The sequence below is a fragment of the Homo sapiens genome, chromosome 2 (genome assembly GCF_000001405.40).
Source record: "Homo sapiens chromosome 2, GRCh38.p14 Primary Assembly".
In the NCBI taxonomy this organism is placed as follows: Eukaryota; Metazoa; Chordata; class Mammalia; order Primates; family Hominidae; genus Homo; species Homo sapiens.
This window is the reverse complement of record NC_000002.12, coordinates 158516126-158535287: the sequence shown is the minus strand read 5'-3', so window position 1 is coordinate 158535287 and position 19162 is coordinate 158516126. Positions and strand designations below refer to the sequence as shown.

General features: G+C 38.6%; 1 protein-coding gene across 14 annotated transcripts in view; it reads right to left on the bottom strand.

Moving 5' to 3' along the window:
* The window catches only part of PKP4 (plakophilin 4), a 224478-nt gene that overhangs the window by 146142 nt on the left and 59174 nt on the right, over window positions 1–19162 (bottom strand). For 13 of the 14 annotated variants that reach the window (NM_001377220.1, NM_003628.6, NM_001005476.4 and 10 more), the window contains one exon: window positions 1972–2108. In NM_001377220.1, coding sequence (NP_001364149.1) covers window positions 1972–2103 — 132 coding nt within the window. In that variant the 5' untranslated portion in view covers window positions 2104–2108. The remainder of the gene's footprint in view (window positions 1–1971; window positions 2109–19162) is intronic. The other variant, NM_001377225.1, reaches the window with a different exon arrangement.

Genomic DNA, 19162 nt, shown 5'->3' with positions numbered 1-19162 from the left:
ATAAGGTGAATGGTAATTAGTTTTCTTACTTGGATCTAACTTTTCTGTGCTCTATCCCATTGGGTAGATGATAGGAAGTGACATATTTCAGGAGAGTCTTAAGAAATTTTTATTCCAACTATATTTTGCCTGGTGCCACAAAAATTGCAGGGGAGCTATTTAAAACCAGGAGAGTATCTTGGAAAAAGACACAGATGTGGTATCCTGGGTTAAACAACTGAAATGCTAAGTACTTACAATTTTTAAAAGAAATTATGTATGAAACGGCAAATATATATTAATGAACTCCAATTTCTCAGGATAGGAACAGAACCAAAGACTAGAGTATAGCATCCCACTAAACTAAACAATTATATATAATAACTGTTTTAATGAATAAGATGAATACATTTTTGGCTGCCTTGAGAAGCTGAACTCTTCTTAGCACTTCCCACAAAATACTTATTCAGAACACTATTTACTGCCAGAAGATAAAATTTTGAAGTCATTTGAGGCCATCAAGGAATTCTAGTGTCAAAATCTTAACAAGTTTCCTTATTTTCTTACATGTAGGGTATATGGTCTCAAGGTACAAACAGACATTCCCATTGCTATGTTTACTGCACGCAGTTAATAGTTTTAAGTCATTTCTAAACATTTTGATAAATTTACCACGTTTCACCAAAACACAGTATATACTAAGAGCCCCAAATAAATCTGAGGCTTCTCATCTTAACAGCTCCGTGGGTCAAATCTTGACAACTATGAAGTGCTATCGAAGAGTCCTTTTTTCTCTCCTAAAGATAACAGAAGCTTAGACATTTTATAGTTTGGTGGAAGATGAAAATTGTACTGACTATATCTTGCATCTTCTCAAACTCTTTGTGGAAAGTTTAAAAACTTCAAATTTCATTGAGGAATAAAAAAAAATGTTGACATCTTGTTACTAGAATAAACTGAAATAATTTTTCTTGAAAACACAGTTCTAACGTCAGACATGTGTCACGGTTATAGAGCAATCTTTCATGCCACATTCCAAGTTACGAAAAATAGTACAACAATAAGGTAATAAATGTTTCCTCAATCTTCGTCATCATTCATCATTTGAGTTACTGATACTGACTTTCAAAGGAATATCCCAGCAAATACAACATTACCTATCTTGAGAAAAAAACATCTAGTGGCTTAATTATAAGATGTTTTAAAAAAACTTAATCTTAGATTATTTCAACAAAATAACCCTCACAGGGGACACATAATGTTGTTTTGGAGAGAAGAAGCAGGGAAAAAAAAACAAAAAAACCATCCCTGGAGCTTTAAATTTACATTTACCTTATTAAGCTTTGAAATCTTAAGAAATTAAAATTGCAGAATTCCAATTTCTCTAAGCACAACTGATAAGACCTAATATAGGAGGTTACTTGAGTTTGAAGGATAAAGAGTATTAATGCCTTAAAAAAATCAACATAAACATGACATTGAAGCAAACTGGCACAGTTCGACAAGTTTTAGAACATTAGCTCACAAAATGAATATACTTAAATTTAGACAAACACACAAATATAGCCTTTATCCAAAAATCACAGAGACAATCCTATATACTACCTATGTTAAAATGTTCAAAATACCTAACGCTATTACAGGCCTCAGGTTGCCAGAGTCCTGATAGAAAAGTCAGCACTGAGAACTATGCTTTACACAGCTTTGCGTGCATGCACACACTCTGCAATGTGGGAGAGACAGAGACACCGATCACCATCGAGATTGTCCTTACTTGCAGACGCACAAGTATCCTGCATGTTCCGATTCTGACTGGCACCTGGAGCGGCTCTACATGCCAGTCATCCCAATGTACTCAGGGATGTAAACACCTTATAATTAGAAAACGTGAAGGCGTCAAGGACGTTACACAAATTTAAAACATATCCAAAGATTAATTTTTTAAAGGCATTAAAGAAATAATTCACTGCAACTTTCAATACGAGGATGTACCTGCTCCTTCACGGATGCTAGAATAGTGGTGGCTGTGGTCTCGGGTTCCATGCCTGGGCCAGTGGAGGCAGCTTCCTGGCGGGTCTGTGGTTGCCCCTCCTCCACCAATGAGGCCTGCTCAGGAGCTGGCATTCCTCCTGCAATCAAGCAGGCAAAGGGTTAACACTTTCTTCTGGGCTCCCTTGCAGGAACCAAGGCTTTACAGATGGTTCCTAGCAACTACAGTAGACTACAGTCTACACACCATGATCAAAAACTTGTGAAATTGCTAAATTTTCTAAACAGGTAACCAATAAGTAAATATGACTAACTTATCAAGAAACTAAATAATAAACATTCTAGATTGCTATAGGGGTCTGTTTTCAAAGTAATATGCACACAAAAAGACATCTACAAATGTTAACTGACATGAGAAGAATGTTTTACCAATTGCAGAAGAGGTTTTTGCAACAGAAAAGAAAAAAAGAGTTTAAAACCTAAAGAAGGCTTAAAAATAAAAGTCTGCTTATTTAAAAGAAATATAACATATTAATAACTAGCAACAAGGTCACCCTTGGTGGAGTCCTATAGCTAGCTTGGTTTCTTTAGAAGAATCTGATTATTCAAAGATAACAATAACTAGGAATGTGGTGTTGAAAAGAAAATCTATTTTTTAGGCCCATAGCTTATGATAGAATAGGTTCTTGGCAGCAGATGGAATGCCTTTCCTAAGACAACACATAGTGAGAGCAGTGTGTTTGTCAAAAGACTTACTGACCTGATATGGACTTCCTACAGTTTTGGAAAATAGGGGGAAACGATGATTAGTGTAAAATGTTATTAAAATTTTAATAACTCATTTACACATCAGTCTCTCTGTCTTCTAGTGAGTACAGTCTTTATCATACCATGAAACTAGCCTAGTGCCTGGCACATTAAATGGTATTCAATTAATGTTTGCTAAATAAATGAATACATGAATGAAGGATGATATATTTTCAGTCTCATTCCAGTCATTAGGCAAATCCCGCCAAGGCTTAAGATGCCCGAGAGACCCTATCTGTTTAGATGTGTCACTCTGTATATTCAAATAGGGACATCTGAGACTATAAATATTTTTCTCAACATTCTTCAGTTTTCTCTTGCAAACTACTCTACTATTATTATTCATTTATAATCAATTAACTTCCACAGTCTTCAATTCTATAGCTTGATCTGGGACTTGTTACCCCATTCCCTCAAATTTCAGTATCAGTCTTCTGTTTCCAAAATAATAATCCGTAAGTAAAAGGGGAGATGTACACACCCTCTGAGATCCCATCTTCTTCCCTACTCTCCTGGCTTAAATGTTAGTGGAGAGGGTCTAAGTTTCAGGTTTCTGCTGGTGGTTGTTTTATTCTTGCCATATTAATAGGCATAAATGGATAGTGGGTCTGATTAGTTTATCTGTGCATTTCCCCAGCCTCATGAGTTCTCTTGCCTGCTCTATCTAGCAAGTGAATTCTCAATCTCTCATTTTCATGGCACATAAGGCCTAGATAGACTTTGAACTGCAGGCAGGATCTTCTCAAGTATGAATAGAAGGATCCTGAGACATGAGATGAGTAGGATGAAAACCTAAGTGCCCTGGGGGGAGTTTCTACCTTGCTGAGCCTCACTTCCTCACTGATAAAAATGGCTAGTTCTTTATACAATGTAATAATTTTATGGCAATCTATATTTTTTAGTGTATGTGGAATGCTTATTGAGATGTAAAACAAAATATTATCAACTAAATAAAATTTCTTCTTTCTGTATCAAGTGCTCATTAAAGAGAAGATCTAAGGTCTATAAAGGAAAAAAATGCTACACAAAGATCCTAGATTAGCATTTAAGGCAAGTAAAGATATAAAAGTATTCCAGCCATTGAAAAATTACACACCTTAAAATAAGCAGATGGTTGCAAAGAACAAAAATGTTACTATGCAACAGTGAAACAAATAATGCCAAGAACCAAAAATTTTAAATGTCAAGAGTATAATATGAAACAACCAATGTGTAAGAAGAAAAAGAAGGAAAAATTCAGTGAACAAAGATAATTTGAGAAAAGGAGAAACAGAAATGTCACTGGGGAAGTAATTATTTATTAATATAGAAGGAGCCTTACTGTTAAAAAGACATAGAATTATATTATGGTAATTGTATTACATCACTGTGAGGATATCATACTTAATTTCACAGTATTTATCTTGCTGACCCTGCTTCCCAGGACCAATGAACCCAGAGGAGCACTTTCTGAGTACCACTCTCCCAGGGACATTGACCATTAGGGGGCTCATCACCTAGCTGATGCAGCAACATAGGATCAAGGCAGAGTACGGCAAGATGTAAATGCAAAGGAGTAATGCTAAAGTCAAGAGGAGGAGGGTCAGAGAGCTTATAACTGTGTAAAAGAAACTAATATAATGCTGAGAAGCTTGGCAGGAGAGGAAATTTTCATAGACATGGATGATATCTATTCTGATTCCTCAAAGGTTAGGACACACCACAGGCAACCATGAACAGTCATTAGATGAGGAGCAAAGCCAATGGTACCTGTCGTTACTAAGGGTGAGACACTTCCCTACCCCTTATCTCTGAAGCAGTCTCAATATGCCACAACCAACATGGGGCAGGGGAGGGATACCACTGTGCTGACAAGTTATAAACCTATGAAGGTTTCCTATCCATTTTCTTGTAGTTTTCATAATTGTAAGACCATTTAATGAATTAGAAAGTATCAAGCTAAGACTGGAGTCACAGAATAATGATATTGCTCCATTCCACTAGCAAAAAAAAAAAAAAAAAAAAAAAAGAAAGAAAGAGTACTTCTATCGTAAAGAGACTGTGAGAAATTAGGCCTCACGCTTCCCTCAGTGACCTCAATTTGCTTGATTTGACTGATCACATTCAGGAGACCTGGGAAAGCTTACAGATAGGTTGCTGAACCATTTTTGAGGGTTCTACAGAGAATGAAGGCATGCCAGAAAACTGGAAGGAGGAAAATGCCATGGCTGTTTTTGGAAAAAGGGAAGGTAGACTCTTCACATTACAAACTACAGAGCTAGACACAGATCTTGGGTGAGATTCTTTAAAGGATTTTATCCAAGAGGTGATTTGTGAGAACTAAAATGGGGCACCACAGAAAAGTCATGTTAAGCTGGCCTAATGTCTGTGGCAGCGTAACCATGGAAATGCAGTGTTGCCCAAACTCTAGTGGGGCGTGTATGATATTAGAAGTCCTCCATCACATTGTCATTAACATAGAAATGTGGCTGGAATAAGGGCAACTGCTGACTTCAACAATCTGTAAACAGCTGAATGAAATACATCAACCTATAGAGGTTTCTAACATAATGCCAGAGGTCTGACCTTGACCCAACCCTACCAAATGTTTTAGCCATGATATCAATACAAGTCATATACAAGTTCTTCAATGACTAAGAATATGGAATTTGGCAGAGGGAGATAAAATTAAAATACAAAAAATATACTGCTACACTGCAGTAATGAGCTGCCTCTAATGAGACTAAAAACAACGGGAATAAATACAAGGTCCTGTATTTAGGTTAGCTCAGCAGCATATTGGGAAAGAAATGTAGGCATTTCAGGTTCAAGAGCAAAATGAGTGAATCATAAGTGAAACAAGACTGCCCAAACCTAAGTGATCTTATGCTGTGTTGATGTAAGTCACTAGGATGATAGGAAGGGCGTTTAAGTGAGCTTACAATTTTCCTTCAGGCTCCTTGGGACATAACTACTTCCAGATAAGGGCAGCACATTAACAGGAATGCACACACTGTATCCATTCAAGAGATGATGAGTGGGGTGTTAAAGGGATCCAGTCATTATTTCCAGGTAAGGGGACAGGGAGGATGTGAATGACACAGCTCCTGTTTTTTATGAGCTCAAAGCTCACTGGGAGACATGAGAGTGGTAGTTAATGGAACAAGAAAAGAAAGTTTGACCTGAAGAAGAGAAATCCAATGTTGACAGGCAGATGCCTATAAGCCTCTGAAGGAGGCTTTTTAGGCTATAATCCCAAGAGCCAGACTAAAAGCTAATGGTTTTGTAACAAATGTGTATTAACCTGTATTATTACTGTCTTTATATTTGGAATCAAAATTAAAGGTTGGAGCAATAACGGAGGCCTTTCCTTTTGGAGCTAATGGTAAAATGCTTAAAATTTCCAGAACTGATTGCCTCTGAAGGTAGCACACTCCCATGATGAGAGATCTTTAATCAGAGTCTCGATGATGATTGCAGGAGGGATAGTGTAGAAGAGATGCTGCACTGTGTGTGGCAGAGACAGGAAACTCTAAATCTTGAGGCCAACACTAAGATTAAACAAGTTCTACATTGTAAACAGATGTGAATGTTCCTCAGGAGTTTTCAGAATGTTGTCTACTGTATAACACTGTCTCTGTATCAGCCACCTGAAAGCCAGGACCTGGGCTTTTCCTGAGGGAATGCTGGATGATACTGGAAATTGTAGCATTAGCTTGTTTTCTCTTTGGCTATACAAAGCTCAGAGATGAACCTGTGACCAACTCTTACATGTGTGGGTATGCATATCTGTGTTCTCATTTTATCCCAGCCTTTACTTAATGAATGTTTTCTTTGCCCAGGTCTCTTTTTTTTTTTTTTTTTCATTTAGTAAGTTTCTTTTCTTTTTTTTTTTTTATTATACTTTAAGTTCTAGGGTACATGTGCACATTGTGCAGGTTAGTTACATATGTATACATGTGCCATGCTGGTGCGCTGCACCCACTAACTCGTCATCTAGCATTAGGTATATCTCCCAATGCTACCCCTCCCCCTCCCCCCACCCCACCACAGTCCCCAGAGTGTGATATTCCCCTTCCTGTGACCATGTGATCTCATTGTTCAATTCCCACCTATGACTGAGAATATGTGGTGTTTGGTTTTTTGTTCTTGCGATAGTTTACTGAGAATGAAGGTTTCCAATTTCATCCATGTCCCTACAAAGGACATGAAATCATCATTTTTTATGGCTGCATAGTATTCCATGGTGTATATGTGCCACGTTTTCTTAATCCAGTCTATCATTGTTGGACATTTGGATTGGTTCCAAGTCTTTGCTATTGTGAATAATGCCGCAATAAACATACGTGTGCATGTGTCTTTATAGCAGCATGATTTACAGTCATTTGGGTATATACCCAGTAATGGGATGGCTGGGTCAAATGGTATTTCTAGTTCTAGATCCCTGAGGAATCGCCACACTGACTTCCACAATGGTTGAACTAGTTTACAGTCCCACCAACAGTGTAAAAGTGTTCCTATTTCTTCACATCCTCTCCAGCACCTGTTGTTTCCTGACTTTTTAATGATTGCCATTCTAACTGGTGTGAGATGGTATCTCATAGTGGTTTTGATTTGCATTTCTCTGATGGCCAGTGATGATGAGCATTTTTTCATGTATTTTTTGGCTGCATAAATGTCTTCTTTTGAGAAGTGTCTGTTCATGTCCTTCGCCCACTTTTTGATGGGGTTGTTTGTTTTTTTCTTGTAAATTTGTTTGAGTTCATTGTAGATTCTGGATATTAGCCCTTTGTCAGATGAGTAGGTTGCGAAAATTTTCTCCCATGTTGTAGGTTGCCTGTTCACTCTGATGGTAGTTTCTTTTGCTGTGCAGAAGCTCTTTAGTTTAATTAGATCCCATTTGTCAATTTTGGCTTCTGTTGCCATTGCTTTTGGTGTTTTGGACATGAAGTCCTTGCCCACGCCTATGTCCTGAATGGTAATGCCTAGGTTTTCTTCTAGGGTTTTTATGGTTTTAGGTCTAACGTTTAAATCTTTAATCCATCTTGAATTGATTTTTGTATAAGGTGTAAGGAAGGGATCCAGTTTCAGCTTTCTACATATGGCTAGCCAGTTTTCCCAGCACCATTTATTAAATAGGGAATCCTTTCCCCATTGCTTGTTTTTCTCAGGTTTGTCAAAGATCAGATAGTTGTAGGTATGCAGCGTTATTTCTGAGGGCTCTGTTCTGTTCCATTGATCTATATCTCTGTTTTGGTACCAGTACCATGCTGTTTGGGTTACTGTAGCCTTGTAGTATAGTTTGAAGTCAGGTAGTGTGATGCTTCCAGCTTTGTCCTTTTGGCTTAGGATTGACTTGGCGATGCGGGCTCTTTTTTGGTTCCATATGAACTTTAAAGTAGTTTTTTCCAATTCTGTGAAGAAAGGCATTGGTAGCTTGATGGGGATGGCATTGAATCTGTAAATTACCTTGGGCAGTATGGCCATTTTCACGATATTGATTCTTCCTACCCACGAGCATGGAATGTTCTTCCATTTGTTTGTATCCTCTTTTATTTCCTTGAGCAGTGGTTTGTAGTTCTCCTTGAAGAGGTCCTTCACATCCCTTGTAAGTTGGATTCCTAGGTATTTTATTCTCTTTGAAGCAATTGTGAATGGGAGTTCACTCATGATTTGGCTCTCTGTTTGTCTGTTGTTGGCGTATAAGAATGCTTGTGATTTTTGTAAATTGATTTTGTATCCTGAGACTTTGCTGAAGTTGCTTATCAGCTTAAGGAGATTTTGGGCTGAGACAATGGGGTTTTCTAGATAAACAATCATGTCGTCTGCAAACAGGGACAATTTGACTTCCTCTTTTCCTAATTGAATACCCTTTATTTCCTTCTCCTGCCTGATCGCCCTGGCCAGAACTTCCAACACTATGTTGAATAGGAGCGGTGAGAGAGGGCATCCCTGTCTTGTGCCAGTTTTCAAAGGGAATGCTTCCAGTTTTTGCCCATTCAGTATGATATTGGCTGTGGGTTTGTCATAGATAGCTCTTATTATTTTGAAATACGTCCCATCAATACCTAATTTATTGAGAGTTTTTAGCATGAAGGGTTGTTGAATTTTGTCAAAGGCTTTTTCTGCATCTATTGAGATAATCATGTGGTTTTTGTCTTTGGCTCTGTTTATATGCTGGATTACATTTATTGATTTGCGTATATTGAACCAGCCTTACATCCCAGGGATGAAGCCCACTTGATCATGGTGGATTAGCTTTTTGATGTGCTGCTGGATTCGTTTTGCCAGTATTTTATTGAGGATTTTTGCATCAATGTTCATCAAGGATATTGGTCTAAAATTCTCTTTTTTGGTTGTGTCTCTGCCCGGCTTTGGTATCAGAATGATGCTGGCCTCATAAAATGAGTTAGGGAGGATTCCCTCTTTTTCTATTCATTGGAATAGTTTCAGAAGGAATGGTACCAGTTCCTCCTTGTATCTCTGGTAGAATTCGGCTGTGAATCCATCTGGTCCTGGACTCTTTTTGGTTGGTAAACTATTGATTATTGCCACAATTTCAGCTCCTGTTATTGGTCTATTCAGAGATTCAACTTCTTCCTGGTTTAGTCTTGGGAGAGTGTACGTGTCGAGGAATTTATCCATTTCTTCTAGATTTTCTAGTTTATTTGCGTAGAGGTGTTTGTAGTATTCTCTGATGGTAGTTTGTATTTCTGTGGGATCGGTGGTGATATCCCCTTTATCATTTTTTATTGTGTCTATTTGATTCTCCTCTCTTTTTTTCTTTATTAGTCTTGCTAGCGGTCTATCAATTTTGATGATCCTTTCAAAAAACCAGCTCCTGGATTCATTGATTTTTTGAAGGGTTTTCTGTGTCTCTATTTCCTTCAGTTCTGCTCTGATTTTCATTATTTCTTGCCTTCTGCTAGCTTTTGAATGTGTTTGCTCTTGCTTTTCTAGTTCTTTTAATTGTGATGTTAGGGTGTCAATTTTGGATCTTTCCTGCTTTCTCTTGTGGGCATTTAGTGCTATAAATTTCCCTCTACACACTGCTTTGAATGCGTCCCAGAGATTCTGGTATGTTGTGTCTTTGTTCTCATTGGTTTCAAAGAACATCTTTATTTCTGCCTTCATTTCGTTATGTACCCAGTAGTCATTCAGGAGCAGGTTGTTCAGTTTCCATGTAGTTGAGCGGCTTTGAGTGAGATTCTTAATCCTGAGTTCTAGTTTGATTGCACTGTGGTCTGAGAGATAGTTTGTTATAATTTCTGTTCTTTTACATTTGCTGAGGAGAGCTTTACTTCCAACTATGTGGTCAATTTTGGAATAGGTGTGGTGTGGTGCTGAAAAAAATGTATATTCTGTTGATTTGGGGTGGAGAGTTCTGTAGATGTGTATTAGGTCCGCTTGGTGCAGAGCTGAGTTCAATTCCTGGGTATCCTTGTTGACTTTCTGTCTCGTTGATCTGTCTAATGTTGACAGTGGGGTGTTAAAGTCTCCCATTATTAATGTGTGGGAGTCTAAGTCTCTTTGTAGGTCACTCAGGACTTGCTTTATGAATCTGGGTGCTCCTGTATTGGGTGCATATATATTTAGGATAGTTAGCTCCTCTTGTTGAATTGATCCCTTTACCATTATGTAATGGCCTTCTTTGTCTCTTTTGATCTTTGTTGGTTTAAAGTCTGTTTTATCAGAGACTAGGATTGCAACCCCTGCCTTTTTTTGTTTTCCATTTGCTTGGTAGATCTTCCTCCATCCTTTTATTTTCAGCCTATGTGTGTCTCTGCACGTGAGATGGGTTTCCTGAATACAGCACACTGATGGGTCTTGACTCTTTATCCAACTTGCCAGTCTGTGTCTTTTAATTGGAGAATTTAGTCCATTTACATTTAAAGTTAATATTGTTATGTGTGAATTTGATCCTGTCATTATGATGTTAGCTGGTGATTTTGCTCGTTAGTTGATGCAGTTTCTTCCTAGTCTCGATGCTCTTTACATTTTGGCATGATTTTGCAGCGGCTGGTACCGGTTGTTCCTTTCCATGTTTAGTGCTTCCTTCAGGAGCTCTTTTAGGGCTGGCCTGGTGGTGACAAAATCTCTCAGCATTTGCTTGTCTGTAAAGTATTTTATTTCTCCTTCACTTATGAAGCTTAGTTTGGCTGGATATGAAATTCTGGGTTGAAAATTCTTTTCTTTAAGAATGTTGAATATTGGCCCCCACTCTCTTCTGGCTTGTAGGGTTTCTGCCGAGAGATCTGCTGTTAGTCTGATGGGCTTCCCTTTGAGGGTAACCCGGCCTTTCTCTCTGGCTGCCCTTAACATTTTTTCCTTCATTTCAACTTTGGTGAATCTGACAATTATGTGTCTTGGAGTTGCTCTTCTCGAGGAGTATCTTTGTGGCGTTCTCTGTATTTCCTGAATCTGAACGTTGGCCTGCCTTGCTAGATTGGGGAAGTTCTCCTGGATAATATCCTGCAGAGTGTTTTCCAACTTGGTTCCATTCTCCCCATCACTTTCAGGTACACCAATCAGACGTAGATATGGTCTTTTCACATAGTCCCATATTTCTTGGAGGCTTTGCTCATTTCTTTTTATTCTTTTTTCTCTAAACTTCCCTTCTCGCTTCATTTCATTCATTTCATCTTCCGTTGCTGATACCCTTTCTTCCAGTTGATCACATCGGCTCCTGAGGCTTCTGCATTCTTCACGTAGTTCTCGAGCCTTGGTTTTCAGCTCCATCAGCTCCTTTAAGCACTTCTCTGTATTGGTTATTCTAGTTATACATTCTTCTAAATTTTTTTCAAAGTTTTTAACTTCTTTGCCTTTGGTTTGAATGTCCTCCCGTAGCTCAGAGTAATTTGATCGTCTGAAACCTTCTTCTCTCAGCTCGTCAAAGTCATTCTCCATCCAGCTTTGTTCTGTTGCTGGTGAGGAACTGCGTTCCTTTGGAGGAGGAGAGGTGCTCTGCGTTTTAGAGTTTCCAGTTTTTCTGTTCTGTTTTTTCCCCATCTTTGTGGTTTTATCTACTTTTGGTCTTTGATGATGGTGATGTACAGATGGGTTTTCGGTGTGGATGTCCTTTCTGTTTGTTAGTTTTCCTTCTAACAGACAGGACCCTCAGCTGCAGGTCTGTTGGAATACCCTGCCGTGTGAGGTGTCAGTGTGCCCCTGCTGGGGGGGTGCCTCCCGGTTAGGCTGCTCGGGGGTCAGGGGTCAGGGACCCACTTGAGGAGGTAGTCTGCCCGTTCTCAGATCTCCATCTGCGTGCTGGGAGAACCACTGCTCTCTTCAAAGCTGTCAGACAGGGACATTTAAGTCTGCAGAGGTTACTGCTGTCTTTTTGTTTGTCTGTGCCCTGCCCCCAGAGGTGGAGCCTACAGAGGCAGGCAGGCCTCCTTGAGCTGTGGTGGGCTCCACCCAGTTGTAGCTTTGAGGCTGCTTTGTTTACCTAAGCAAGCCTGGGCAATGGCGGGCGCCCCTCCCCCAGCCTCGCTGCTGCCTTGCAGTTTGATCTCAGACTGCTGTGCTAGCAATCAGCGAGATTCCGTGGGCGTAGGACCCTCCGAGCCAGGTGTGGGATATAGTCTGGTGGTGCGCCGTTTTTTAAGCCGGTCTGAAAAGGGCAGTATTCGGGTGGGAGTGACCCGATTTTCCAGGTGCGTCCGTCACCCCTTTCTTTGACTCGGAAAGGGAACTCCCTGACCCCTTGCGCTTCCCAGGTGAGGCAATGCCTCGCCCTGCTTTGGCTCGCGCACGGTGCGCACACCCACTGGCCTGCGCCCACTGTCTGGCACTCCCTAGTGAGATGAACCCGGTACCTCAGATGGAAATGCAGAAATCACCCGTCTTCTGCGTCGCTCACGCTGGGAGCTGTAGACCGGAGCTGTTCCTATTCGGCCATCTTGGCTCCTCCCCCTCCAGGTCTCTTTTTTTAAAATCATACCATTAGACTGAATTCTTTTGAGGCTTCTAAAACATGTTTTAGAGGAGGGTTCACTATGGACAGCTGTGCATTTTCATCACAATCTTTATTGAACACAAAGAGGCTCATATGTGAAACTGGCAGTATAATTGTGTATGCATGTATGTATCTTAATCTTATATTCAACTATCAGTGATTAACAGGCAATTTTTCTGCTCAAGGCTGCAGACCACATATACTCTAGTATGACTTCTGAAGGTTTTCTTGGCATATTATAGATGTAATATATAGGTGTAACCTATTATTCAATATATATGTAATCTCTTTTACCAGAGCTGATAATAGTCCACAAAATCATCTGTCTTAAATCTTCCAGAGATGGCAAATCAACTAAATACTGGATTTTTCTCTACTTAATTCCCTTCTACTCGCCTTACTAATAATTTTTGGTGAAAGCATACCAAGTACACTTTATTTCACCTTTTTAGTAAAATAAGTTGGACTCCAGTTATTTTTCCTTTCTTGAGTTAGCTGTCTGGAATATAACATATAGTTGTCATTATGAACACTCAGAAAAATGTTGATGAGAAACACAATTTCAAAACTGATATGACAAAATAATGATGCCTAAGAACAAATTAATAAAAAATAAAGGTTAAAGAAAGCGTGAATATTTAAATTTGATTCAAAATGTAAAGATACTAATGTCAGATAAAAGTGTAGAAAATAAGCATTAGATGAACAAAATATTTTAACAATAATAAGTAGAAAAAATTGCTAGGAGTATCATCATATAGCAAACATAAGTTCCTCTTTGTTTTACTTATAATGAAACTGGAACAGATATTGCAGAAGAATGAAGTACTAGGAAATTAAGAATTTGCCTGAAAAGTTAAACATCTTCAGGAGCATATGGTATCGAGTCTAGAATTCTAAAAGGAGTATCAGATAAACTTTTTGCAGTTATATTTTTAAAATATCCTAGAAATAGAAACATAACCAAAAGCTGCAACTCTTTAGGAGGATTAGAGGTAGTTGCATACTAACCTTCTAATCAGGCGGTTCATAAAATAATTCAAATTTCTTGGCAAGAATTTGTTTAGAAGAGAGCTCTGTGCCAAACAGCATAGTAGTTCAAGAGAATAATCTATGCATAGTAGTTAAATGTTTTTGATTATGAATTTATTTTTCACTAGAAATATCACTGCAAGATAATCTGGTAAAAAAAATTAAGCAAAAGGTTTGTACGAAGAGGAGAAAATCTAGATGACCAATAATGAAGTTCTCAACCTTATTAGTAATTAGAAAAATGAACATTAATACTGCAATGAGTAGTCAATACACAAGCACCAGAATGGCAAAACAGTATCAAATTTTGGTGAGGACCTGGAATAATGGTAACTATCCCATGCTGCTGATGACAGTGTAAATGGGAACCACTCCTTGGAATCCATTTTGGCATTATCTAGTGCAGCTGATGACATGTACACTCTGTAGTCCTGTAATTCCATTCCTGATTAAGTAGAGACACTCTTGTACATAGGCATCTGGAGAGTTACAGAAATATGTTCAAGGCAGCACTCTTTGTGAAGGCGATAGGTTGCTAACAACTCAAGTGACTATTAACAGAAGAATGGATAAATACAATGTAATATATTCATTCAATGTGTTTCACTTTCAGCAATAAATGAATGAACCAAAGCTCTATAAAACAAGGATGACTGTCAACCGTAATACTGAATAAAAGAAGCAAGGTGCAAAAGAACACAAACAGTGGGATTCCATTTATGTAAACTTCAACAATAGGCAAAATAAAACTCTGCTTACTAAGAACGCATGCATAGGTGGCAAGGAAATGACCACCACCAAAGTCAGAGGAGTGGCTACCTCTGTGGAGAGAGGGGGCTGTGATCTCAGAGAGGCACATGAAGAACTTCTAAAGTGCTAGCCCGACATGGGCGGCACTTACATAGATGTGCTTGCTTTTCAATATTTTTAATTGTATGTATATTTTATGTACTTTCATAGTTTTCTCACAGAATGGAAAAAGAATAATATAGCGGAATAAACATGATACAGTATTAGACGAAGTTTATAAATCAAATAATTTAGAATATTTCAGTGATGATAAATAGAATAGTATTTAGTAACTTAAATACTAAAGATTATTCACTTTTAATAGAATTAAACTACTTCTGGTTTTAAAACTAGACTAAATATAATTTTACGATGTATAAATGCCTAGAAGGAATCCACTTCAATAATAAGAGGTTAAAGTTGCAAAATATAATACCCTCAGCCCTGTATAACATTCAATAACGATTTTTGAAAATAAAACACACGGTTAACATATAACACCAGAGTCAACACTGTTGGCACCCTGGGCTGCTCACACTGTGTCTTATGTGAGTGGTGCTCCTCTGGCCTTATGCAGCATTGACTTGCCCCTATAACACAAGGAAAGCACTGCAAAATGGTTAATGAAAACTGGAAATTCTATCTTGATAAACACGAATTACACATGGGCATTTTCAACATTTCCCCAAAATATCTTACTTCTTATATAGAGGAAAGAAGGAAAAAAGGAAAATCTTTTTGAAAAGTACTACGGGTTCATTTTTTTTTTCTTTCTGAGGATTCAGGATCCTTTATAGCACCATAGATGCTAGGAGGAGACGAAATGAAAATCATGACAAATTCAGAGTTATACCTGGAATGTTAAGGGTATACAAAGATAGGATGGAGGTAATCAATAGAGTTAAGAATGTAATTAAAACTCTGATGGAGGGGAACTGGATGAAGAGGCAAGATGAGCATAAATTTCAACTTTTCTCCAACTCACAACTCCATGAAATAATAGAAAAGGCATTTTCTCATTTTTAAGATAAGAAAATTAGTCAGTCTAGAAATTTTAAAAATGTCATCAGCGTGCCAAAATGTCAGAAAGATAACTGCTATAGACCTTTGGTAAGGCAACCAGAGGAAACCATAACACAAAGAGGCAAAGGCTGGCTTTAGAGGATGGAGCATTGGGTGACAGAGCTCGAGGTTCAGAGTATGGTATATCCCAGACTTGAGGCTCTCAGGCCTGGGGCCAATGTCAGGATAATCAAGGGGAGAGAGAGTGCAGCTGGGTGGTCAGCGCCTACCCTGCAAGTGCCCAAGCATTTTGTCACTGGCAGAGAAGAGATTCAGACAGAGCAGGCCTCAGACACTGACACCCAGGGGGGACCAAATTCCCCAAACAGAAGAAAGTAAAGTGGAACAGGTAGAACTAATATCCTTAGTGTTAAAACTGAAAACTGTAAGTAGGAAAGAGAAACAGCCAGAAGCCTTGAAGAAAAAGCTACAGGATAAAAAAGAAATCTTAATCGTGAGATGAATAGCAAAATGAATTTTTAAAAACAGAGTATTTCATAAGAGTGACCTAAATAATTCTCTCAGAAACAACAATTAAAAAAAAAAAGAGAGAGATTTTACAAAAAGATCAAAGAACAGTTTGGTGACTAGAGCTTAGATGCAGGAATGACATCTGTTTACTCCAAGTTCTTGGAAAAGAGAAAAAAGAAGAAATACTACAAGAAGAAATGAAAATTCCCAGAGCTGAAAACAAATCACTTAAAATGAGACAATAAGTGAATAAAATGAATGAAACAAGCTACATCTGGACCAAGCCATTGAAATTTCTAGGTTCCAAGGATAAAGAAAAAATTATATATGTTACTATAGTGGAAAAAGCAAATAAAATCAAATTAGCATCAGACACCTTCTCAATTATAGATTTATCAATAGCTTCCAAGTACTGACCAAAAATTATGATTCAAATATGAAGGCAAAATAAAGGGTATTTTAGGACATACCAGGACTCAGAGAATTTGTTTCAACAAAAGGAAGTTCTGTAACCAAAATCACCCAACCATAATGCTGAATAAAAGGAAATTCTGCAGCAAAACAACAAATATGACAGAGGAAGGTTTAGGACACAAGAAACAGTGCAAAGCAAATGATTTAGGAAAACTGAAGATTAAACCTACATACCTTCTGTGTAGTCTCAACATGAGAGGAGTGAGGAGCTGATAAAAGTGAAATGACACTAGTGTTCTCATTTATCTCAGGGGGAAGAAATATGTAGACAGTAACTCCAGGTGACTGCAATTTTGCTGCTCTCAAAATTGCAGGAGGAGGGAGCATCTACTGCCCCACCCCTGGAATCTGGGACTGGCCATGTGACTTGCTTTGATCACAGAATGTGGCAGATGTGATCTTGTGCAACATCTGAAGCTAAATCTTAAGAGGACTAACAGCTTCTTTTGAAACCCTGAGATCACTAAGCTGTGACGTAACTTGGGATTAAAAGACGCTATGGACACACAGCCCAGCAATCACAGCCATTCGAGCCAAGACCTCAGAATATGTAAGACAGGCCTTCTTAGTCTTGCCCTGACCTAGTCACCAGCTGACTCCAGGCACCTGACTGAGCCTAGGCCAGACCAGAAGAACCTCCTTGCCAACTTAAAAACTCATTGTTGTTTGAGCCACTGAGATTTAGGATGGCTTGTTACACACTGAATAAGTCAATACTACCTGAAATAACCATCAAGATAGATGACGGGGATACAGAAAAAAATTTTAAACTTATTTTTTCAGTATAATATCTGATGTACAAAATTATCTTATTTTCTTTTGTTTTTTTTTTGAGACAGGGTCTCGCTCTGTCACCCCAGCTGGAATGCAGTGGTGGGATCTTAGCTCATTGCAGCCTTGACCTCTCAGGCTCAGGCAATCCTCAGCTCAGCTTCTCGAGGAGCTGGGACTACAGTGGCACGACACCACTGAGCTAATTTTCATTTTTTTTTTTGTAGAGTCGGGGTGTCATCATGTTGCCCAGGGTTGGTCTCAAATCCCCAGACTCAACCTATCTACCCGCCTGGGCCTCTCAAAGTGCTGGGAGTACAGGTATGTGCAAGTAGCACAGGAATGTGCTACTACCCAGGATTATCTTATAACAATATTATTTATTTAATGTATTATTGATCTACTTACGTATCAACCACACTATAAACCAGGTGTAAAAGTACAAAGATAAATAAGACCCTGAACTCCCATCCAACTTACAATCTAAAAGGCACAAGACAAATTAACAAACTACAATAAAATGCAGTGTGAGATAAATGAGGAAATAAGAGGTGAAACACAGATGGCAGGGGCTCAAAAGAGTTTCAACAGGAATGCATAAATGAAGACACTATTCTAGGTGGGGCAGAAGAACCCAGGTGGGAAAAAGCCCATCTATAATATAGTAATTAATTTTATTCAGCTTTTTTATTTTAAAATTTGCTTTAGGTTCAATAGATTTCTAAAAACCTCCCTAGACTGCTGTTTTATGTCATTTGTAATTAGGGTATGGTAAACCATATGAAATCTCAATCTGTTTAAATAAAAGATTTGTTTTCATCATTAGTTTTTCATATCAAATGCTAGTGTTAACAAAGATTAAAGACTAATGAAATCACTAGCAGAGCACATATGGGGATTTAGAAATATGGCAATTTATATGTGAATTACTAGAGGCAATAAAAACAAAGTAAAATTGCTTAAAGACTTGAATATTTAACAATATTTATAAGGTCTATTAAAAAATAAGAAAAGTAGGCCGGGCACAGTGGCTCATGCCTGTACTCTCAGCACTTTGGGAGGCTGAGGCAGGCGGATCATGAGGTCAGAAGTTCGAGACCAGCCTGGCCAACACAGTGAAATCCCGTCTCTATTAAAAATACAAAAAATTAGCCAGGCATGGTGGCAAGTGCCTGTAATCCCCCAGCTGCTCGGGAGGCTGAGGCAGGAGAATCGCTTGAACCCGGAAGGCAGAGGTTGTGGTGAGCCAAGACTGTGCCACTGCACTCTAGCCTGGGCAACAAGAGCGGAACTCTGTCTTAAAAAAAAAAAAAAAAAAGAAAAGTATATAATCCAGTGTACTTGCTATCTTACCTAGTGGTTGTCTTTTTAGCCCATACTGGTTTTTCTTTCTACATGAACTAGCTAAATGATTTTTTCAGTGTCTTGGGATTTACACGGGGCTGTTCGGCCAATCATAACCTAGAAGATCTGCATGAGATTTCTATTTAAATTATACATTAATTCATGTGTAATTTTAAAGATTCAATTTAAAATTCTCAAAGTGTGCTCCACGGACAACTTCCAGCATCTCAAAATGAGGTTCCTATGGTTAGCAAGTCTGGGAAATGTGGCAGAACATGGTTCCTCTTAAAAAATCCCTAAGAATCTTGTTACTTAAAGTGTAATCTGTGTGCCAGTTGTGCAGGCTGCACTTTGGAACTTGTAAGAAATGCAGAATTTCAGGCCTGCCCCAGACCAAAGAAATCAGACTTTACATGTGGGTCAGATCCCCAGTGTTTTGTATACACAGTCAGCTTTGAGAAGCACTGGTGTGGAGCATCATAAAGACTCCGAGAAATCATGAAAAAA